Genomic DNA, 23,445 nt, shown 5'->3' with positions numbered 1-23,445 from the left:
TGGTTAGGGAAAGAACCTCCAAGTCCTAGCCAAGTGTCCCATAGAGGAAGCTCTGGTCACCCACATTTGCGGCACCCTCTTCCCCTTCACTCACTCCTGTCTCAGGAGAAGGAGGAGGAGGACACAGCAAGAAGACGCTATCTTGGAAGCAGAGAACAGCCTCACCAGACACTGAATCTGCTGGAGTCTTCATCTTGGACTTCGCAGCCTCCAGAGCTGCAGAAGGAAACAGGCCTGCTTGCCCACTGGGCATATGCATTCTAGTGTGTTCCCTCCCTAGAGGTGAGTGCAGGGAAAGATGTAGCCTCTATGGGTGGAGGGCTAGGGGCCTGCAGTCCTTCAGCTCTGCCTGCCCCTGGGGTGAAGAATTGGCCCCAAACTAAGTTTGTTTCCATTCAGTTCAATTGGTAATGATTGTGATCTCCATTTTTCTCCTGTGTTTTATTTTATTTTATTTTTTTTTAATTTTAAGTAAAAAAAATAATTAGAGGTGGGGTCTCACTATGTTGCCCATGCTGGTCTCAAACTCCTGGGCTCAAGCAATATGCAAGCCTCAGCCTCCCAAAGTGTTGGGATTATAGGTGTGAGCCCAATGCACCCAGCCTCTCTCATGTTTTAAATTCTCAGTTGAAACCAAACTGGGAATGGAAAGAAGCATCCTCCCCAGATAAAACCCCACCAGTGTCACCTTGTGGCATTTGTCACTGTCTCATTTGTAAACCTAGTTTCTCCTCATAAACAGGAGGTGCTCACTAAAGAACTTATTTATATAACCAAATACCGCCTGCTTCCTAAAAACCTATTGAAAGAAAAATAAATTTAAAAATAATAATAAATTTGAAAAATAAACAGGAGGTGCTCAATGCATGCTTGTTGCATGAAGGCATGCTTCCTGGAGCTCCCTCAGTGCCCTCCAATGATGGATCCTCTCAGTAAACAGTCGGCAATTGACCTCAACCACGATTTGCTGACCCCTGAGCTGTGACCACTGTATAAATTAAAAGCACTGATGTCACCAATGCACTCTTCAGTATTTGGCAACATCTTCTACAAAGTGCATTGAGATAAAATGATCCTTTGTGGTCCATCCTCAATGCCAAGCTCTCTGGTTACCTCTGAGTGGTCCAAATGCACAGCTGGGCTGCACTGAAACTGATCAGAGTGTGTCTCCAATGGTAGCTGGTGTTTGTTTTGTTAGATTTGAACAGACAGTGGTGTGGTGGTGGAAAAAGGATGGGCTTTGTGATTAATAAAACTAAGCGCTGGTTTTGGCTCTTGCTATGGTCTGAATGTGTCCCCCCTCCCCACCAAATTCCTATGTTGAAACTTAATTGCCAATGTGATAGTATTAAGAGTAGGCCTTTAGGAAGTGATTCAGTCATGAGGGGTCTGCCCTCATGAATGGGATTGGTACCCTTATGAAAGGGCTCCAGGGAACTGACTAGGCTCTTTTTGTCCTTCCACCATGTGAGGACATAGCAAGAAGGCGCTATCTTGGAAGTAGAGAGCAGCCTCACCAGACGTTGAATCTGCTGGTGTCTTGATCTTGGACTTCCCAGCCTCCAGAGCTATGAGAGATAAATTTCCATGTTTTCTAAATTGCCCAGTCTCAGGTATTTTGTTTTGTAGCACAAATGGATGAAGACAGCTCTGCCCTTCACTTAGACAAGTCAGTTCCCTCTTGGGGCCTGTTTCCTTATGCGCAGAAGGAGAGAACGGCATTAGATGGATCAGGGAAGGCATATCAGCATCATCTCACAGACTCGTCTGCTATGGTTTGAATACTTGTCCCTTCTGAACCTCATGTTAAAGTTGGATCCCTAATATTAGAGGTGGGCCTAATGGAAGATGTTTGGGTCATAGGGGCAGATTCTTCATGAATAGATTAATTCTCACTCTGTTAGTTCCCACAAAAGCTGGTTGTTAAAACGAGCCTGACACCTCACCTCTCTCTCTTGCTTCCTTTCTCACCATGTGATCTTTGCACACACCAGCTCCCTTTCACCTTCTGCCATGAGTGGAAGCAGCCCGAGGCCCTCACCAGAAGCAAGCGCTGGCACCATGCTTCTTGTACATTACGCAGAAGGGTGAGCCAAATAAAACTTTTTTTCTTCTTAAATTACCTAGCCTCACATATTCCTTTATAGCAATACAAAACAGACTGAGACACCATCCCAAAGGCTCAGCAGTGGCTGCCTGTGATGGCATATCTATAGGGAAGGATCCTATGCCAGTCTAGGACTGTTGGGAAAAGGTGCTGTGATCACTAGTGATGCCTGTTTTGGAAACATGAAGGAGAAACGGTGCTCCCTGTGACAAGCATTTGCCATTCCATAGCCAGAGGAGCTCAGCAACCCCTGGACTCAGGGTTGAACACCAGTTGTAGCCCAGCAGTTAAGAGCAAAGACCTTAGTGCCAGGATGCCTGATTCAAGTCCAAGCCCTGGAGGTATGACCTTGGGCAAGTCTCTTACCAAGGTCCTACCCAAGGTCTTACTGTGTCTTAGTATTCTCTGCAATAAAACAGGGACAGTCATAGTGCCTACCTTGTCAGGGTGTTATGAGGCTTTAACGAGGTAAGCTATGAGAAGTTCTGTGGATAATGCCTAGCGCTGAGTAAGTGCTACAGATATGTTAGCTACAAGTTAGATGGTGATGAAAGAAGGGTAGAATTCAATGACAAGGAAGGTAACTGTCTTGCCTCTAACAACGTGAATGAAAAAGCAGGTTACAGAACAGCATGCAAGTACACATTCAATTCACATGTACGTATTAAGTACACATGTATACATAACATCCACATGTAATTAAAGGCCTGGAAAGATCTAGGGGAAGCTCACCAAAGTGTTAATGGCGATCATCCTTAGGTGGTGGAATTTAGGGTGAACATAAAATGAGCATGTATGATTTATGATTTCCCCTAGGCAATAAAGCTTTTTAAAAAAATCAAAACAGACAAGAACATACTCAAAGCTTCACATCTCCTCTCCAAAGGAAGGAGGCCCAGAGTCTAGGTCATGTTATAAATGACGTCGCCACGTAACAAGGGAACCATTCTCCATCTCCCACTCTGAGCCCTACAGTGATCAGCCCTTGCTCACTTGTAGGTGGGAGCACAAATGGAACATCAGGGGTTACACTGGATCTGGCCATTGACACTCACCCAGCAGAATCTGTTGCGTATTTCTGGTGATAGCCTCATGATGGGAGAACCCTCCCAAACTGATCCCTGAAATCATGTGTTTTCTAAAGCATAGACACTCCTGCCTACCGCCTGACTAGCAGCACAGGGCTCAAATGTGAGCCATCTTCAGGAGATTAGAGTTTAGAGGTTTGCTTCCATGCAAGAGTAATTAACAAGTCTAGGAATTAATCAGTTCTTTCAGGTCCTCAGGCTATGTAGAGAAAATGGAAGACAAATGGGTTTTAAAGGTCTTTTTTTTTTTTTTAGAAAAGAAACTTGTCATGTACAAAAATCAAAGAAGAAATTATTTCTGAAACAGAAAGCTAATGAGCATCCCAGATTATGAATTTGAAAGAAAAAAGATGGCAAGTTATGAGCACTCCTAGGCATATTTTCCTGCTGACTGAAGCCTCAGTGTTCGTACCTGGAATAGGGAGCACGTAAAACTTCGTTTCCGTTAAGTCAGGTAAAAAATTGGCTTGCAGGATGGGGTGACCTATTCAGCCCACAGTGCTGTGGAAATTCAGGAGCCGTGGCTGCTCTCCTTTATTGATATCCTGAATTCTTGGGAATGAGGCAGAGGAGTCCATGTCTGTGGCCGCACCCATGAATACTGTCTCAAAATTGTCTGATGCATTTTCAAGGCTCTCATTTTTTTTAAAAAAACTTTCATTATGAAATAATATGTTCACATGAAGTTGCCAAAATAGCCCAGAGAGGTACCCTGTGCCCGTTACCCAGCTTCTCACAATGGCCGCATCTTACATTACCACAGTATCAAAACCAAGAAAGTGACATTGGTGGAGTATCTCAGATGTCACTGGTTTTTGCATGCACCCCCCACCTTTTTTTTGGTCATGGGTATGTCTTTGTTCTATGTCATTTTACCCCATGTATAGATTTGTGTAACCACCAACCAAAAACAAGATACAGAACTATGACCTCATTTGGGTCCTTACAATGGCCCATGAGGAAGGTAGGCATGAAGAAGGAGGCATTATTACTCTCACTGCTTGACAAATGAGGAAACTGAGGCCCAGAGAGGTGATACGACTCCCAAGACCCCTTAGGATGGGCCAAGGAGAATGGCTCCCAGGAGAGGCAGGAAATGGAGAGGACTGGGCAAGTCTGTTAGCTTTCAATCTGAATGGGAGGCCTGGTGCCTGTGTGAGGACGCACAGGTCCTGAGCACCATGACAGAAGGGCCCCTGTGCAGAAAAACCAACCTACTGGGAATACTCCTCTGCCCTGTAGCCTGCCTTCCTCCTGTAACCACAGGCCGAGCCAGAGGAGCAAGCTGCATCATGGTTCTCTTTTGATGTGTCTGTTGCTTCCCCATGCAACTAATTCCTTGATTCTCATTTGCCTCCTTGTGTGGAACTGAAGCCCTCTCCTGAAGGAGGTTTAAGAGTGGCTTAAGAATGCTTTTTGCTCCATTGAGGGTGTTCTCAGCACCTGGCCTAGTAAAAACATTCGGTGGCTATAACTGATGCAGAATTTTAAAAAGAAATCTTAGCCTATTTGCCTGTGTTTATGGTAGTATGGGAGAAAGGCTTGTAACAGAATTGAGATTTCCACCTGGAACATCAAATTAGTTTCAACTCCCTAGTCAATTGCAGTTGATTGCTAGTTGCTGCCCATAGCACTGTGTTGAGAAGGAGTCTGAGGCTGAAACAGGTCTCAGTGGATGTGAGTTCTGGGATCAATTAGTAATGTCTGCTGCGGGAAGCAATAGCATGTGGACCACGTTTATTTATCACCCTTGATAGGGTCTTTAATAGCAGGAAACAGAAGCCCAGAGACTAGAGTGACTTGCCTGTGGCAGAACAGCAAATTAGAGTCAGAGCAGAGACTAGAACATGTACCTTTTGATTACTTTGTGGTCTTTTTCTTACAGAGTTTAGGAGACCATTCTGATGTTTGCAAAACTTTCTTCTCAAATTCGTGGCTCACTTAACTGAATTGGGATATAACCACAGCCCTTTGAAGTAAGGGGTCAGGTCAGTACTTTCCTATCCAGGGGCACTGGAAGTTGGCATCAGCACTCTTGGTAGTGACAACATGACTGATGCTTATTGAACAATTGCTATGTCCTAGATCTACACCAAGAGCTTCACATACATTGCCTCATTTAGTCTTCAGCACAGGGCTTTTGTAACATCAACTATTATTAGCTCCATTTCTTAGAAGAGATTGAGACCAAGAGACACCAACCTCAACAAAACTCATGTAGGTGAAAAGCTTTGAGACATTTGCTGTTTGCCAGTGACTGTTACAAATGACTTACACGCATTGCCTCATTGAACCTTCTCAACAACTCTACAAGGAGGCTCAATCATTATCCCCATTTCACGGATGAGACGACGGAGGCACAAAGAGATAATAGAAAAAAGAAGTGTACAACTCCCTTCCTCCCAGCAGAAGAAGGTCAGCTTGCCCCAAATCACAAAACTAGTGAGTGGCTTAACCCAGGTCATGAACTCCCAGCCATGCGATGATGCCCACTCTATATCCCCAGAGGAAACGCCAATGAATGAGCTAAGTTCCTTGCATTCCTGTGAGCTAAAGACAGCCAGTAAAGATGAGAGAAGTGGGCTTTTTGCTGATGTGTCCTTGAAGGCTCATGAAGATTCATTTTTATTAAAAGATGTTTTTTCTGGGAGAAAATCTAGCAGAATCTGCAGAAATCTGCTTTTCTGATAGAATTCTGGTAGAATTTGATAAGCTGCCATCCAACTCACAGGAAAGAGATAGCCAAGGATGGGCCAGTTTTCCAAGCCAGAGCTTGATGTCCAGAAAGCTTAGCTCCTCAAAGGTGATCCCTGGGTCATCTCAACACCACTCTATTCACAAGGGGAAAAGACTAAAAGTTGAAATGTTTGGAAATCAGGGAAATGATCAAGCTGGAAACCTAGAGAACAATTCTCAAAACAGAAATGTTGTCACTGGAGCAAATATAAGCCGAATACCACTTCATGTCCATTAGGGTGGCAACCGGTGTTGGCGGGGATGTAGTGACATCAGAACCCTTATGCATTGCTGGTGAGAATGTGCAATGGTGCAGCCGCTGTGGAAAACACTGTGAAAATTTCTCAAAAAGTTAAATATAGAATTATCATGTGACCCAGCAGTTCCACTCCTGAGTATATAACCAAAAGAATTGAAAACAGGGACTCAAACTGATACTTGTATTTAATGTTCATAACAGCATTATTCACAACAGCCAAAAGGTGGAAACTACGCAAATGCTTATTGATGGATGAATGGATTTTAAAATGTGATACGGGCCAGGTGCAGTGGCTTGCGCCTATAATCCCTGCACTTTGGGAGGCCCAGATGGGTGGATCACTTGAGGTCAGAAGTTCAAGACCAGCCTGCTGGCCAACATGGTGAAACCCCGTCTCTATTGAAAATAGAAAAACTAGGCAGGCATGGTGGTGCATGCCTGTAGTCCCAGTTATTTGGGAGGCTGAGGAAGGAGGATCATTTGAGCCTGGGAGGTGGAAGTTGTAGTGAGCTGAAAGCGTGTCACTGCACTCCAGCCTGGGCAATGGGAGATAAACCCTGTCTCAAAAATAAATAAATAAATAAATAAAATAAAAATAAAAATGTGATATCTATCTATCTATGTATCCATCTAACTATCTACATACACATACACACCACAATGGAATATTATTCAGTCTTCAAAAGGAAAGAAAGGTAACTCTGAACATGCTACCGCACTGATGAATCTTGAGGACAATATGTTACGTGAAAGAAGTCAGATACAAGATACTATATGATTCTGCTTATACGGGGTACTTAGAATAGGCAAGCTCATAGAGCCAGAAGGTAGAATAGAAACTACCAGAGGCTGGGGGGACAAGGGATGGGGAGTTACTGTTTAATGGATACAGTTTTCATTTGGGAAGATGAGAAGTAGATAGTGGTAATGGTTGTACAATACTCTATTGAAAGCTACTGGACTGTAGACTTAAAAATGATTAAAAGGGTAAATTGTATGTTATATGTATTTTGCCACCAACATATAAAATAACTGAAAAGGAAATCATTTACAGCAGTGACATCTCTAGACGACTACTTTGACCTTGTTCTGGTACAGAGACTCATGGCACCCCACTTTCCACTGACTAAAACCCACACCCCATATTTTGACACTCAAGGACCTGCAAGAGCTGCTTTCCTCACCATCTCCCTCTCCACCCTCCCTCCCTGACCCCAGCTCCCCAACTCCAGCTTCTCCCTGGAATGCCTCCCCTCTGCTTGTCAATGGCCTCTGGATACTTCCAGTGCCACTTCCTCTGAGAAGCCTTCCCGGATCATCTGGCCTGCAGGAAAGTCTAAGTTTGCCCTGAACTCCTATGAGACTTGGTGCTAGCCATGTTGTCTGTTTCTCGGTGTTTGAAGTAATTGTCTGCCAGTGACCTCTCCCTCAAGAAACCTGCAGCAGAGACTGAGTCCTCCGCACTTTTAATCCTTCCAAAATACTTGCTCTTGTTATTGAGTGGTGGAGAAGAGGCCACTCAGTAACATGTTAAATAAGTAAATACATGGCTCTGTGGTCTTCGCCACTCCAGAAACTCCACCTGCATTTTTGAGGAAAGATGACGAACTTGGTAGGGGAATCAAGAGAACACCATCTATCCTTAGTGACTGTAAAGCTGGAGTGTCACTAATGGGTCACAAAGTGACTGCATTCACAGAACACATGCCCATCACGAAAGCTGTGGGTGATTTTGAACTGGGATAACTTAATTTAAGGTGGACATAAATGGCATTTAAAAACCCAACCAGTTAAAGTTCATGATAAATCATATTGCACAATGAATGTGATTTTTCTTTCAAAGCCAGCTTCTGTTATATTTTATTTCTGCTGAGTCATAAATTCCATGAGAGCAAGAGACCACCAATTTACCCCGGGGATGCCAAGTGCCCAGCAGAACGGTTCGCCCAGAACAGTCTTTTGAAAGCCCACTCGTGACAAATGAAAACTGTCCCCAACAGAAAATATAGCAGTGCCAAATCAAGACGATAGTAACATCAGCCAAATATTTATCCTGAGGGTTAAAGGAAACAGTGTCTAAGACTGCATTTGTCTAAACGAAGCTCCGGATGGATCAGTCGTTGATCTTATTAGCGGTAATAATTCTAGTGATGATTAAGATCTCTTCCCCACTCTTCCACCATATTTAACCACTGTTTTCCCCCAACCAACCTAACAACATTAGAGAAATGAACCCATGCCAAGTGTATAGCCCCGAGAAGCAGTGGGTCCCCAATGCTGAGCACTCTGCCATACCAAGCACTCACTCAATGGCGAGATTTAAAAAGCCTCCTTTCAGTTTTATTATGACTATTAGTAACTGTTAATTAGAGTGTTGTAGGAGCAGCAATCACTTCCCCCCATTCTCACGGTGCTAATTACTCTTGGCTTTGCAACCAGCAGAGAAAAAAGGCCCACGATTGTGCCAGGGGATTCTTTATTTACCTTCTTGTACTATCATTCCTATCTATTTTGAGCTGCGTACCATTTAAAAACAGTTGCAGAGAAGCCCTTTTGTTAAAGAAAGCATGTGATTTTCCTTTTTTTTTTTTTTTTCCTTTTTTTCTTTTAATGATAAACGCCCCATTCACATTGCCAGGCTGCAGATCGGTCTTGGCGCTGTATACTCCCAGGTCCAGGGCACTGGGATGGTGCTGGGTGCTGGCCTGCAGGGCACTGTCCAGATCAGGATCTGTCTGGATTTTTGGCCAGACCTTTTGGTTAGGTCATAAGGCGATTCAATGGTCCTAGCAAGACTTCCTTTCATCTATATCATCTCCTGCCACTTGAACTTCAAGGTCTATCTGTAGTAAGTTACCACTGCCCATGGGTAGCTCCAGGCTCAGGCGGTTCTGGGTCAGCTGCAGGATCACTGCTGCAAGGAGCCAGGGCAGTGATGACCTTGGGGACAGGTAGTGACTTGGAGGGGTCACAGGTGCCTCCGGGTGCTGGTGATATTCCTCTTTTGCTTGATGTCAGTGCTGCTTGCTTGAGTTTGGTCCCTGTGAAAATCCTTCTAGTTATTTACTTATGAACTATGGACTTTGCTGGATGCATGTTACACTTTTTTAAAGAATTGTTTTTATTTTTAAAGAGACTGGGTTACCCAGGCTGGAATACAGTGTCATAATCACAGCTCACTGCAGCCTCGAACTCCTGGGCTCAAGTGATCTTCCTGCCTCAGCCTCCCGAGTAGCTGGGACTACAGGCACATGCCACCATACCTGGCTAATTTTTTATTTTTATTTTGTGTAGAGTACCAGGATCTTGCTATGTTGCCCAGGCTGGTTTTGAACTCCTAGCCTCAAGTGACTGTCCTACCTCAGCCTCCCAAATTGCTGGGATTACAGGCGTGAGCCATCACACCTGGCCTGTTACACTTAAATAATTAAAAAACAAAAAAACAAAAACAAAACAAAAAAAACTACCACCATCAGGGATTAGCCATGTGATTCTGGACAGGCCACCTAACCTCACTGGACCTTGATTCCCTTCTCTGTAAAATGGGGCCAATAGTTCCTACCTTACAGAGTTGCAGTCAAGACTAAATAAGATAATACTGAGTAAGATACTCAGCCAGTGCATGGAAAACACATAAAGCATCTCTGTAGCCATTATTAATGCTGCTAGTGTTATTAATAATGTGTGCAAATGGCCAGGTTAATGATGCCCACACATAAGGAACCATTCAGGGCACTGGTGATGGCCATGATAAAGCCAGCCTTGACCGTCTCCCCTCAACAAGCAATGTTCTGTCATTGGAGTGGCTCCTAGTTTCTCTTGATAGCCTGTACAGTAGCCAAGAGTGGTTTTTGTCCGTCCAGCTTGCATTTTCCTCTTTTCCAGGTACCAGAGTCTTGGTTTTGCTTCAGGAAACCTCATTCTTGGTGTCTGCAGTTGAGGTAAGATTGATCCCCTCTGTTCCATGGATGGGCCCCTGTCTCCACTGGGATAATCAGCATTTTCCAATCTCTTGGCCATAAGCGACCTGAGATCAACTCCAGGACTCTTGTTGGAGCTGTCAGGAAAGCGGCTCCCTCCCACCACTGCCAACGCTAAATAAAGTGGTTCAAGACAGCAGGGAGTAGTGGAGGGTGAGGAGGACCCCACCAGACAATCTGCTGGGAACCAAAGCAACTTGGGGGACAACAGATCTGAGACCCGAGGAGAGGGAGAGATTCTGGCCACTGCTGGGTCTCCCAAATGCCAGCGATGACCTATATGACTCATCATGTCTGGGAACCAATGAAGGGTTCATTTTGTTTCTTTTTGCTTAAGCCAATTTAGAAAGCACTGGGGCTTCTATCAAAGAAGTCCTCAGTCTCACTGTTGCAGTGACCAATTAATGAATAATTAATATCTGCATTGTATGTACTTTTTTTTTTTTTTGAGACAGAGTCTCGCTCAGTCCCCCAGGCTAGAGTGCAGTGGCGCGATCTCAGCTCACTGTAACCTCCGCCTCCCAGGTTCAAGTGATTCTCCTGCCTCAGCCTCCAGAGTAGCTGGGATTACAGGCACGTGTCACCACGCCCGGCTAATATTTGTATTTTTAGTTGAGACAGTTTCACCATGTTGGCCAGGCTGGTCTCGAACTCCTGACCTCAAGTGATCCTCCCACCTCAGCCTCCCAAAGTGCTGGGATTACAGGCATGAGCCACCACACCTGAACCTACTATGGACCTCTCTGATCCTGACCCCCATGGAACTCTCCCTACTCCTGGCCTCTTCATGCCTGCGACGCACCACTCTGGCCCACACACAGTGCAGCTCAGCTCTTCCTCCCATATTTCAAATCCACCAAAGCAAAGATCTCAAAGGCGGCACATCTTATGGGTCTATTCACTGGTGAGTGCAGGAGCATCTGTTTGACCAGACTCACTACCAGGTGCCAAGTGCAGTTACAGAGAGGAGGAAGTCTCCGTCTCTGAGCCGTGGGTGCTTGTACAATCCAGGCAGGCAAGACACACACTGAACCCTGGTGACTCCAGGGTCACTTCTACATCCCTGGCTCCTGCCACCATGGCTGTCCACAGGACAGGCTCAGCAAATGGGTTTTGAACTGTGCTCAACAGCTAAGACAGAAAGTGACAAAGCAATTCAAAAGCAAGAGTGTTTGCATCTTGCCAGATGGGGTGATTCAAAGAAACATCATTGGAGCTGACACTTCTTGGGAGTTTTGGTAGGCAGGGATATCACAACAAGCGAGAAAAAGCACAGGGAGAGAAACCTCCAGGCTTATTGTCCCAAGACTGCAGCACAGAGAGGCGAGATTGGTTATTGCTGGCGGATGAACTGACTCATTGGTTTTTTTTTCATTCGCTCATTCCTTCATTCATTCAAGCACGTACGCAAGAATGCACTTAGTTAATCCAACAAGTATTTATTCAGTGCCTGAGTCATCTCTGGCATATGGTAGTTGCTCAATGAATGAATAAGCTTCTATTTTGTGCCTGCTGTGCTCTTAAGTGGGAGGGACACATTCATGAATAACACAGACCTAGGCAGAGTCCTTGCCATCACAAAGCCTGCAATCTAGCAGCTTCTTCACAAATATTTATTCAGTGCCTACTATGAGCCAGGCCCTCTTCTAGATGCTGGGAACAGGCAGTGAACAGGACGGACAAGGTCACTGCTTTCCTGGAGCTGACATTATAGCAGTTGGAGAGGACCCCACTCACAGTTCCTCCTTTCGTTTGTTCTGTTCATCCAAAGTTGGAGGGAAGTGCTGTCCACACTGGGACAATTCCAAAGGGGGAGGAATCTTTGCTTGGGGATGGTTCTATTTTTCTGTATAGCCATTTCATAGTATCAAGAAGGTGAATGTGGCTTCCCACAAGGAAAATCCTAAACAAAACAAAAAACAACCCAAAAAAAAACAACCACAAGAGAGAAGCAACATTGAATTGGTTAACAGAAAGGGAATATTTGGATTCTGGCTCAAACATCAAGGTTGAGATGCATTTCAGGGCCCCTCATCAGTTTCTCATAAAACATGCCACCAGAATGGAATTTTATCAGAGTTTGCTATTGTTTAATATGCCTTGAAAGAGTTTTTGTCTTCAAGGGGCCATTCTGGAAAGCTGACACTTGAGTGGGGAGTGAGAACCTCTTGGCTATGAAGCTCAGCAGGTCTTGAAACCCCGGGGGGAAGTGCCCCTTCTCCCTCCCTCTCCTTTTCAGTTCAGCAAGTAGCTCAGCCTCATGTAAGAGAAAAATAAAAAGATACTAGTTCAATCAAAGTAAAACTGTCACACGCTATCCTGACCTTTTCAATATGTAAATAGTTGTGCTCTCAAATTTCAGGACCTGATGGGAGATTCTGACAGACATTCCCTTCCAGGAGGCCCAAGAGAAGAGGCTGGAACTGTTAGAACTCTAAAAGCCAACAAACCCAAGAAAAAAACTGTAGGTCTCTGGGTCTCCACATGCCCATGGGATTTGCCTGAGCTGAGGCAACCATAGCCACCTGTGCCACCAGCTGCCCCCTCCTCTAGCATCCTCATGCCCGACATTGAGCAACTGTGTGCTTCAGGCATGGTGCTGGGTGCTGGGGAGGCAAAGATGGTCAAGATAGAGTTCCTCTTCTGGATTATGTCACAGGGGAGAAAGACAAGTCCATTTATTCATGCACGCATTTAAAAGTGAAGCACCAATCATATTCAGGCCTCGGATGCAGAGCAAATAAACGACCCGCTCCAGCAACTTGGGACAAGTGCTTGGTCAGCACACAGGACCTCCATGGTAGCACAAGGGAGAGAGTGAGGGCATGATCCTGCCCCAGCTGCCTGGAGGCTGCACCCCCAGAGAAGCATGTTCAAAGCACAGAGCTCCTTCCCACTCCCCTCCAGGTCTGTGAACAGAGGGCAGGACCTGCCACCCCCACAGGCACCATGGAGGGAAAGTGTCTGTCATTCCCCAGGAAACGATAAAACTGAATTTCCAAATGCCCTGTTATTCCTACAGTTAGTAATTGGAATCCCCAAAGCCCAGCAAAGGTGGAATCTTTCCTGTTTGGGGGCTGGCAAGAAGGAGGGCTAAAGGAATTCCAGGCAAAGGAAGGAGAATGAACAAAGAGCAAGAAATCAAGAGACCCTCTTGATCCCAGGAATGGCCCAAGGTGCAGCTCAGAATCACAGCAGTAGAAACCTGAGATGGGAGTGCGGGCGGCCAGAGCGGGAGAGGTCTGTGGGGCTCAAACCACGCCAAGGAGACAGGAGCTATAGAGGGATTTAAAGAAGGAGAACCATACAATGTAATTCATTTTTTTGGGGGGGCGGAGGCAGAGGATAGGATGGAATTGGGGTGGGCGAGACTTTTAGCAAGGCAGCAGTTGGCAGCTGTCATAATCCAGAGAAGAGAAGTGGGCACATATAATAGTGAAGAGGAGACAAGGACCAAAGGTGCTAAAGGAAAAAGCATCATAGTTTGTGCATGGGACTGGATGTCAGGATGACATTTGACTGGAAGTCAAATTCCACTCCCTCCACCAAGTTTTCTCTGCATCGGTTTAGAGGCGTCCTGCCCAGAAACACAGCCTGTGCATCTGGGATTGCAGCTCCCCGCACAGCACGGTGTCTCTGGAGCTCTTACGTGTCATACCACGGTTGGTTCCCTGAGCTCCAGGGATGTCTAAGCCACAGCTGCCTGTGGAGGGACCAATTTGCCTCCTAGGGGCTGCAGGGTATTTGCCACAGCCCCAGCACACACTCGGCTTGGGTCTGATCCACAAAAACCCCGCTTTGCAAGGCAGATGGTCCCTTGTTGACTGCAGATGTATCCAGGTGCCTCCTAGAAAGGAAAGGACTCCTTCTTTCCCCCGTTCTCAACTGCTCAGCAAATGCCCCAATAAACCAGAGCCAAAAGGATTCAGGGTGACATTTCCCACTGAAGAATTGCTCTGAATCACGAAAATAATTCTCCTTTCTGCTTGTAGAAATCCCAGAGCAGATACAAACCCTCCTGAAGGGTGCAGATGAATTCCTCGCAGGCTCTCTGTTTGCACGTGGGCAGACAGATCAACATTTTTTTATTCTAAGTGAGGAAATTCGAAGCTTTCCACTTTTTTTGAATCCGTCATTCCTTTGGCTGGGCTGACTTGACCCGTTACCACAGTTAGTTCTCCAGTTTGAACTTCAAACAATACAAAAAAAAAAGGGGAAGTTGGTGGTGTGAAGACTTCTCGTCATGTGAAACGTCTTGAAAGCGTCCTCAAGTGAGAAAATGACATCCCTCCCTTCATCAGCCTAGCCTGAGAATGGTTCCTTAGAATTTCCCCACCCGGCCAAGGGGAGGAAACACTTGAGCTTATGAAGGAGTTTTGGGCATCAAAGGGCTTTTAGGAGGTGCGAAGTTATCACACGAACAGGAGGATTTTCCCCCACAGGAATGGAAATCCACCACAGGACACTGCCCGTCTCTTGCTTGTACTTCCGATGCCAGCACCTAATAAAGCTGGGGTATGGGGTAGCAGCCAGAGGCCATCCACTCCAATAGCTTCTCACTTCACACAGTCCCGGATTTAAAATTTGGCTTGACAATGGAAACCATTTGTGACTTAAATCTGCATATCTGGCACAGCATCGATTAAAAAGAACATGGCTTTTAACGCTAGATGGGCTTAGTGTTTTGTTTGTTTTGTTTTGAGACAAAGTCTCACTCTGTTGCCCATGCTGGAGTGCCGTGGTGCAATCATAGCTCACTGCAACCTCAACTCTTGGGCTCAAGTGATCCCCCTACCTCAGCCTCCTGAGGACTCCTGGGACCACAGGTGTATACCACCATGCCCAACTAATTTTTATTTTTATTTTTAATAGAGATGAGGTTTCACTAGGTTGCCCAGGTTGGTCTTGAATCCATGGCCCCAAGCAATCCTCCTGCCTTGGCCTCCCACCGTGCTGGGATTACAGACATGAGCCATTGCACTTGACCAGACGGGTCTAGTTTTCAACTCAGACTCTGCCCTCTACTTGCTGTGTGGCCTTCAGCAAGTTGCTTAACCTCTCTGAGGTTCAGTTTCCTGTCCTGTAAAATGTGAATCGTCATCCTCACTTCACGGGGATTTTTTTAACGAAAAAAATCCAGTACATAAACCTCTTTGATGGAAGAATGAGCCTTCATACGTGAAGGACCTTGTACACAGTTCCCGGGGCCTCAGTAACGCTCTAAACATTACCTGCCTGGACTTACCTCTCTTCTCCTGAAGCTCATTAGAAGTGCATAAAGTCTGAGCTCAATCAACTCCGGTGGTCAGAAAGCCAGGAGAAGCCTCTTTGCCTCCCTGAATGAACAGCCACAGGTTTATGATTTATTTGCTGATTAATTGGATGCTTGGAGACAATTCCATTTCAATTACCTTATTGGCATGACGAGATATACAAGGGCTGCCAATGTCAATACATTAAGACTGAGTGTGCTGGAGCAGCAGCCAGGGTTCAGGGCACTGCTGTGTCATCTGCGCCACGGTGCACAAAGGCAGCTTCAAAAGCATTTCAGCATGATCGCTTCCCTCTCTCCGCTCCTGGGGAGAGAAGGATCCTGCACACCACAGGCAAATCATGCTGAAATTGAGGTGGTGCCTTTGGGACTCCCATCCCATCACAGTCTTGGGATTCTCTAGCTGAGATCTACTAGAGCCTGTGGAAGCAAGAATGGTCATTTATCACATGGAGCTGGGTGCATGGTGTGGGGCCCAAGGGAGAAAGGGTAGCCCCTGCCACTCGAGTACCAGAAACCAGAAATTGTGCTGGACTGAAGGGCAGTAGGTAGAATTCTAAACCCCCAAGATTTCCTCTCCTGGTGTACCCACTTTGAGTGCATGCAGAACCTGTGAATGTGATGGGATTTCGCTTCTATTCTTACATTACCACTGTTGACTTTGAGCTCTTTATTTAAAAAAAGCATCCAGGTGGGCCTGACCTAATCAGGTGAGTCCTTAAAAGAGCCGGGGCCCTGCCTAGGAGATTGGCAGCCCAAGAGCTGATGGAGAGGCCCATGTGTCAAGGAACTGCAGGCAGCCTCCAGGAACTTAGAGCAGCACCTGGCAAACAGCCATCAAGAGAACAGTGGCCTCAGTCTTACAGCTGCAAAGAACAGATTTCCATCAATAACCACATGAGCTCGAAAGAGGACCTGGAGTTACAGAAGAAATGCAGCTCAGCCAGCACCTGATTTCTGCCCCGTGAGTCCCTGAGCAGAGAGCCCAGTTCAGCCATGGCCAGACTTCTGAACTCCAGAAGCTGCGAGGTAATACGTGTCTGTCCTCATAAGCTGCCCAGTGTGCAGTAACTGGTTACACAGCAGTTGATAACAGATGCACAAAGTGACTGCATCACTGTTCTCCCAACCCCTCTCCCCTTAGAGCCTTGTGGTTTCTGTGCCTGCTTCTCCCTGTATATCTGCTTTTCTGCTCTTTTCCTGGAAGCTGGATCTCTTTACTTCTCTGTGCATACCGTGGAGGATCCCTGAATGGATCCACCCATTCGAAAACCATCTGCTGAGTGGCAAATTCTACACTCAGGCTTGTTCTCAGGTCTTCTCTGACCACAGGTCCCATCTGATCACTCCTGCACCATCCGCCTCCTTGCATGTTGGAGCACCCTGAGGCTTCAGGGTCTCCGTGCGTGCCTTCCCCAGAGATCCACACTGCTCTCGTTGATCTCCTTCACATCTCTGCTCAAATGTTACCTCCTCAGTGAGGCTGGCCCTGATCTCCCAACTTAAAGTTGTCACATTTGCTCCCAGCAGCCTCCCTCCCTGCAATATTCCCTCTTGCCACCTTCCTGCCTACTCTTCAAGGTGTGCAATGCACTTACGTCCTTATTGATCTCGATCGCCGATCTCTTTCATAAGAAAGTCGGCTCTCTCAGGTCAAGGATTTTGGTCTGTTTTGTTCTCTATATCCTCAGCCCTTAGAACAGCACCTGGCATACAGCTGGTGCTCAAGAGAGACTTGTTGAATGAATGAATGAATGAATGAAGTGGGAGCTATGGCAATGTCTCTTCAGATTCTGTAGCCAGAATCTATTCTGGATAATGCACTTCAGATGATTTGAGTGAATATACTATTCCTTCACCCTTGCACATCCTGGGCTGAACAATGATTTCTTCTTTATTTTTATAGAACTGTCTTAGCCAGTGTTTCTTAAAGTGTGGTCAGGGGACCAACTGCAGCAAAACCATCTGGGGACCCTGTTAAAAATGTACACCCTTGGCCGAGAGTGGTGGCTCACGCCTGTAATCCCAGCACTTTGGGAGGCTGAGGCAGGTGGATCACCTGAGGTGAGGAGTTCGAGATCAGCCTGACCAACACGATGAAACCTTGTCTCTACTAAAAAAAAAAAAAAAAAAAAAAAAATTAGCTGGGTGTGGTGGCACATGCCTGTAATCCTAGCTACTTGGGAGGCTGAGGCAGGAGAATAGCTTGAACCTGGGAGGCAGAGGTTGCAGTGAGCCGAGATCACGCCATTGAATTCTAGCCTGGGCAACAAGAGCAAAACTCCGTCTCAAAAAAAAAAAATATACACACACACACACACACACACACACACACACACACACACACACACCCTTGAGTCCCACATGAGCCCCAACAGGCCAGGGGCCCAGGAACCTATATTTTTAAAAAGTACCCCCTTCCCATTTTTAGCCACATGGAAGTTTGAGAATACAGATGTACAGGAAACACACTCCTTTTCTTCTCTCTGGAGGCTGTGGGGAACTTCTGTTTTTCACCTGGCCTCATCCACCGGAGGTAATAAAACTAACAATGGCTGACTGCAGGTGGACCGACGGCCTGTCTTATCTCTAGGGTGCATTTCCACCAGATGTCCCATAACACTTATTTGTTGGAGGTAACTCATCTTCCTGCGGGGGCTCCACATTCCCCCCAAAGCTTTTATTCTTCTATGGCCACAGGTGGAGATTGTCACCAACCTCAAGCTCAAGCCTGAAACTTACAAATCACAAAGGCTCTGGGGATTAAGTGGCTATTTAGCAGCAAGTTCCTTTTACAACTTACCAAACCCAGGGCCAGGGACGGCGCTTCTTGGACTATCGTGGACATTTCTCCTTTGCCGTGCAAGAGTGGCTATTACCCGGCATGCCGCTTTGGAAATCTGGAACAGGTCGGGAGAGTAATGGAAACTGGCCGGTAAGTAGCTTGTGTGTCTCCTGCTGCTTCTCACGGCAGCCTCGCTGATGTTTGGGTATATGGATCTCAGCGTGGGGGGCTGCCATGTGAAAACGGCCGTTAGGTGTGTGGGGTTTAGCACATTCTCTCTGAGCCTGGCTACCAGCGAGGCTTTGACACTCAGGCTTTGTGTATGGGGGTGGTTTCGGGGTCCAGCCTAAACACCCAAGGTGGCTGGAAACCAGGGCAGGGCTGCCTGGAAGAAGAAGGAGATCCTATACCTCTTTTGTGTTCCCTTCAAGAATAAACGTGTCTTTGAAAACAACAGCACGGGCCGGGCGCGGTGGCTCACGCCTGTAATCCCAGCACTTTGGGAGGCCGAGGCGGGCGGATCACGAGGTCAGGAGATCGAGACCATCCTGGCTAACACGGTGAAACCCCGTCTCTACTAAAAATACAAAAAAATTAGCCGGGCATGGTGGCGGGTGCCTGTAGTCCCAGCTGCTCCTGAGGCTGAGGCAGGAGAATGGAGTGAACCCGGGAGGCGGAGCTCGCAGTGAGCCGAGATAGCGCCACTACAGTCCGGCCTGGGCGAAAGAGCGAGACTCCGTCTCAAAACAAAACAAAAAAAACCAGCATGACCATTTAGCATCCTGTGCTCCCCAAAACCAAGACGCACATCCTCGTACAAGGCACACCTACTGCCTCCTGAATGTTTCTTGCCCCAGGAATTTTACAACCTACACAGAGATTGGAAAGCCCAACGGGACTATGGGGAGGCATGGTAAAAGGAGGCGGAACTAAAAGTGCTCCTCAAACCTCAGACAGTGAGATGCTTGGGACACGCAGTCTGGTCTGTTCCATGAAGGAGACTGGTGTGCCCTGGAAGCCTCACATTACACACAAGAAAAGTTATCACGGTGGGCTTGCATGAACCAGGCAAGGCCTGTGTACTTTACATGTCATGTACATGCCATGTCACATATAACACGATGAGATCAGCCTTTGCTAGTCAAAGTGTGGACTCTGGACCAGCAGCATCCGCATCACAGGGGACCATGTTAGAGAAACACAGACTCAACCGGGTGTGGTGGCTTAGGCCTGTAATCCCAGCACTTTGGGAGGCCAAGGCGGGTGTATCACCTGAGGTCGGGAGTTCAAGACCAGCCTGACCAACATGGAGAAACCCCGTCTCTACTAAAAATAATAATTAAAAAAAAATTAGTCGAGCGTGGTGGTGCATGCCTGCAATCCCAGCTACTTAGGAAGCTGAGGCAGGAGAATCACTTGAACCCGGGAAGCGGAGGTTGCAGTCAACCGATGGTGCCATTGCACTCCTGGGCAACAAGAGCAAAACTCTGTCTCAAAAAAAAAAAAAAAAAAGAAAAGAAAAAAGAAAAACACAGACTCTCTGGCCCCACCCCAGACCTGCTGAGTCCTAATCTGCAGTCTATCCAGATCCCGGAGTGCTTCAGGCGCACTGTACAGTTTGAGAAACACTGAGTTAGGTGCTACTTTATCCTCATTCCACGGGTGAGGAGAAAGTAGCTGGGGCAGGCTCGAGGGCTTAGTAAGCACTGGAACTCAGATACTTCCAAGACCAAAGTTCCTTGGACTGTGATTCCCACTGCTCACCCGGCAGGAGGGAACCCCTGAGTTGAACCTGTTAGGCGTAGATATCCAGATGAAGGGCATCCTGGGCAGAGGGAAGGGCCGAAGCCAGGGCAGGAGCTGTGCGCAGCCCTATGGTGTGCCGGGAACCGACAGCAGTCTGGACTGGCTGGGGCGTGGGCTGCAGATTGGGCAAGGAGGGAGATCCCATCTGGAGAGGCTGATCGGGGGGCCAAACCCCAGAGAATAAAAGTGGAGTTTCCTCTTCAAAAATGTAGCTCCCAAACAGCTCGCAGGTGGTTCAGATGCGAGAAACCTGTGCCTTAGCAAGGTTAAGGCACTAAGGTTAAGGTTACTAAGCAGAGCTTTGATGACTCAGACACATCCAGGAAGCTGCTATGACCCCCGAGTCCCCACGCTGAACATCAAAGGGGCCCTGGGAGAACCGGGGGCCTCCAACACTTGAACTGCTCCTTGTATGGAAACTTCCAGAACTCCCCCACTCCCCGAAAGAGAGGTCATCCGGACACCTCCCAGGAAGCATCTCTGCCCGACTCTGAAGGCTCCAGGAGGTCCCACCCTACGGCACGAGGCTGCACTGCCACGGTCATTAATTCAACTATTGCTGAAGTGTTGCAGCGGCGGTGGCTGCTGGAAAATTTGCAAATCAATATTGCACGGCGGGTGGGGCAACGGGAAAGAACTTCTCTGTTCCCATTTCATCAACTTCAAACTCTGGGTTGTGTATTTGAAATAAATGCCATTTCCTCTTCACCAGCTAAGTTTCTCTGGGACTTGTCCTGACTTGCTTTCATGGTAACTCCAAGCACAGGCTGCCGGGAACATGCGAGAATTCTGCAATCACTCAGACTGCTTAATTACCAAGCCTGGGGCAGTGGGCGGAAAGTCCCTCTGTCAGAAAGTCTGGGGCTGAAATCAGAGCTGATCCGCTTTGCAGCCACAGATCCCCGAGAAACACTCAGCGCACTTGTCTTCTAAGAAAGTGGTTGCTCATGTCTGAACCACCCAGGGAGCTGTTTGGAGCTACATTTTTGAATTTCTTCCCAAATCTCATGCAGCAAACTCTTCTGCTTGCTCCGTGAACATAGGGGAAGGAGGGAAGATGTGCTTCCATTTCCCTGTTCATTCAGAAAATACCTATCGGTTAAAGGAGTTTGAAACGAACACTGAGTCACTGAGTGTGCCACAGGGCAGGTGTCCTGATATTTTCTCAGTTTATGGCACTCTTAGAGTCTCAGTAATTTTTCTCATGGCACCGTAGGGCCAAAAGAAATCCCTAACCACTTCGTTTACTAAATAGGTAGGGCCAAACAACTTACTAAGTATTTATGTTCTAACATTGTAATAGCCAGTTGAAAAAATAATACATATATGTTGAAAGAAAAAAAATAAGTTTCATTTTGTTCTTTTCCTTTTGTTTTGAGACAGAGTCTTGCTCTGTCACCCAGGCTGGAGTGTAGTGGTGCAATCTTGGCTCGCTGCAACCTCTGCCTGCTGGGCTCAAGGCATCCTCTGACCTCAGCCTCCCTAGAAGCTGGAACTACAGGCATGTGTCACCATACCCAGCTAATTTATATATTTTTTATAGAGAGGGGGTTTCACCATATTGGCCCGGCTGGTCTTGAACTCCTGAGCTCAAGCAATACACCTGCCTCGGCCTCCCAAAGTGCTGGGATTACAGGCATGAGCCATTGCACCCGGCCTTCATTTTGTTCTTAAATAATCACAAGTACTTACAAATGGAACTTGTGTGCCTACTGGGGACTGCACCAATCCTCCAACCTTGAACTAGGACTGGACTCCAACACCTTTATTTCCCATTCTGCACTGGTCTTGGTGGTACTTGCTTTTTAATCATAGCAACGGCCAATACCCAGTTTCACAAACAAATGCTGTCATCAAAGGGAATGTAGCGGAATGGAATGTTGAAACTGTGACTACCTTGAGCCAGTAGTTCACCCAGGGTCCGACAGGTGTCGCTGTGTTTTCCTTGAAACTTCAGACTATCCCACAGCACTGCACTATCCCACAGCTGACTTCCCACAGCTGACCTCACTGCAGCACCCCAGGGCGGCTTAGCCGCACCATTTGGGAACTGTGGCCAGCAAGTCTGTCGCTTCTTGAGCACAGACCCTGTGCTTTGTGTAACTGACGTATGTGATCTCACGGAACGCTCCCAACCCCCCTCATTTGGTTAGTACTACTGTTGTCATCCTCCTTCTACAGACCAGGACATGAATACTCAGCAACATTAAGGCACTTGTTTAAGGTGCCGAACAGACCTGAGACTCACTCAGGCACTGTGCAGCAGAGGGCATCTTCTCCATCCTCCCAGCACAGTCCAAGGACCTAGGTTCCAGCCCAGGCTCTGCTACCCACTAGCTGTGTGTCCTCTTTCGAGCTTCTCAGCTTCTCTGGTCTCTGAGCCACATCTACCATATGTGGCCTGCAAAGATTATGGTAGCTTCAGGCAGCTGTTTTGCATAGTGACAAGAGATAATAGATGGAGAAGGCTCAGTGCCGACCCAGAAGCAAAACCTTCTGTGGGAAGGGAAAGGGAGGATGGGAGAAAAAGAGAGGAGGGGAACCAAAAAAGTTCCAAGGGTGGGCCCTGGAGCAAGGCTTCTAGAACCGGGGATAAGTCACAGGGCCTTGGGGCTGGGCACCCTTAGCCCACTGCCCAGCCAAGCTGGCTTGGGCATCTTGACTGTTGGCCTGGGGCTGACAATGACGATGATGATGTTTTTTCCTTAAATAACTGAGTTCAAAACAGATGGGAAAATGGGTGCTGCACGATTAAGGCTTTTAGTCATAATTGCTAAAAATAATAATAAAAACCCAGCAGCCTCTTTAATTACTCGGCAGTGCTTCTTTTCTTTTCATTAGACACTTCCATTTGCTCATGATGGTATTGTAAAATGTTTATCAATGCTAATGATGCAGTTCTCCAGAGCCCCATTTTGTTTTAAGGGCTGTAAGTGAAATTGTTAAGAAATAAATTTCCTATGTAACAATACATCACAAAGGAAAGCAAACAGAACAATAGCCAGGGCCTTCTCCCCGGCTAATAGGGATGTCACTTGCTGGGGCCTTGGAATCCATGAGGCCTGAGCATCTGGGTTCTTTGCTGTGCCCAAGAGTGGGCATCTGGGAGTCCCTGGCACAAGAGGGAGGGCCACCATCTTGGAGAATGAGGAGAATGAAGATGAGATTAGAGCCACCTGGGTCTTGGTCCCAGCTCTGCCACTTACTGGCAAATCAGGAAGGAATGTTCCTGAGGGTCTGAGAAAGCATCATTCTCTCTGGGCCTTAATTCTCAGGGACAGATTGGGGCACTTGCATGGGAAAATGTAGGCACCTCACCTTGCTTGCTCCAAGGATAAAGTATTGCAGAACCTGATAATGAGAGGTAGCGTGACAGGGTGCTCAAGAATGGGTACCCTGGCTTCAGACTCCC

The 23,445-nt window shown here is 47.0% G+C and overlaps 1 protein-coding gene across 11 annotated transcripts in view, besides 7 other annotated features; it reads right to left on the bottom strand.

Annotated features, from left to right (window-relative positions):
• KAZN (kazrin, periplakin interacting protein) overlaps positions 1 to 23,445 on the bottom strand; it is a 1,225,220-nt gene that overhangs the window by 363,996 nt on the left and 837,779 nt on the right. The gene's annotated exons all lie outside the window — the stretch shown is intronic.
• Positions 10,824 to 11,407: an enhancer, noted in NCBI's record as "NANOG-H3K27ac hESC enhancer chr1:15069137-15069720 (GRCh37/hg19 assembly coordinates)". NCBI's record gives its function as "activates a minimal SCP1, AML or CMV promoter by ChIP-STARR-seq in primed H9 embryonic stem cells {active_cell/tissue: H9 hESC(primed)}" and the evidence as "EXISTENCE:reporter gene assay evidence [ECO:0000049][PMID:30033119]".
• Positions 11,408 to 11,992: an enhancer, noted in NCBI's record as "OCT4-NANOG-H3K27ac hESC enhancer chr1:15068552-15069136 (GRCh37/hg19 assembly coordinates)". NCBI's record gives its function as "activates a minimal SCP1, AML or CMV promoter by ChIP-STARR-seq in naive and primed H9 embryonic stem cells {active_cell/tissue: H9 hESC(naive and primed)}" and the evidence as "EXISTENCE:reporter gene assay evidence [ECO:0000049][PMID:30033119]".
• Positions 17,972 to 18,693: an enhancer, noted in NCBI's record as "H3K27ac-H3K4me1 hESC enhancer chr1:15061851-15062572 (GRCh37/hg19 assembly coordinates)". NCBI's record gives its function as "activates a minimal SCP1, AML or CMV promoter by ChIP-STARR-seq in naive and primed H9 embryonic stem cells {active_cell/tissue: H9 hESC(naive and primed)}" and the evidence as "EXISTENCE:reporter gene assay evidence [ECO:0000049][PMID:30033119]".
• Positions 18,694 to 19,415: an enhancer, noted in NCBI's record as "H3K27ac-H3K4me1 hESC enhancer chr1:15061129-15061850 (GRCh37/hg19 assembly coordinates)". NCBI's record gives its function as "activates a minimal SCP1, AML or CMV promoter by ChIP-STARR-seq in naive and primed H9 embryonic stem cells {active_cell/tissue: H9 hESC(naive and primed)}" and the evidence as "EXISTENCE:reporter gene assay evidence [ECO:0000049][PMID:30033119]".
• Positions 20,138 to 20,861: an enhancer, noted in NCBI's record as "OCT4-NANOG-H3K27ac-H3K4me1 hESC enhancer chr1:15059683-15060406 (GRCh37/hg19 assembly coordinates)". NCBI's record gives its function as "activates a minimal SCP1, AML or CMV promoter by ChIP-STARR-seq in naive H9 embryonic stem cells {active_cell/tissue: H9 hESC(naive)}" and the evidence as "EXISTENCE:reporter gene assay evidence [ECO:0000049][PMID:30033119]".
• Positions 20,862 to 21,583: an enhancer, noted in NCBI's record as "OCT4-NANOG-H3K27ac hESC enhancer chr1:15058961-15059682 (GRCh37/hg19 assembly coordinates)". NCBI's record gives its function as "activates a minimal SCP1, AML or CMV promoter by ChIP-STARR-seq in naive H9 embryonic stem cells {active_cell/tissue: H9 hESC(naive)}" and the evidence as "EXISTENCE:reporter gene assay evidence [ECO:0000049][PMID:30033119]".
• Positions 21,584 to 22,305: an enhancer, noted in NCBI's record as "H3K27ac-H3K4me1 hESC enhancer chr1:15058239-15058960 (GRCh37/hg19 assembly coordinates)". NCBI's record gives its function as "activates a minimal SCP1, AML or CMV promoter by ChIP-STARR-seq in naive H9 embryonic stem cells {active_cell/tissue: H9 hESC(naive)}" and the evidence as "EXISTENCE:reporter gene assay evidence [ECO:0000049][PMID:30033119]".

Source organism: Homo sapiens, chromosome 1, assembly GCF_000001405.40.
Source record: "Homo sapiens chromosome 1, GRCh38.p14 Primary Assembly".
Classification (NCBI taxonomy): domain Eukaryota; kingdom Metazoa; phylum Chordata; class Mammalia; order Primates; family Hominidae; genus Homo; species Homo sapiens.
This window is presented reverse-complemented; position numbering and strand designations above follow the sequence as displayed.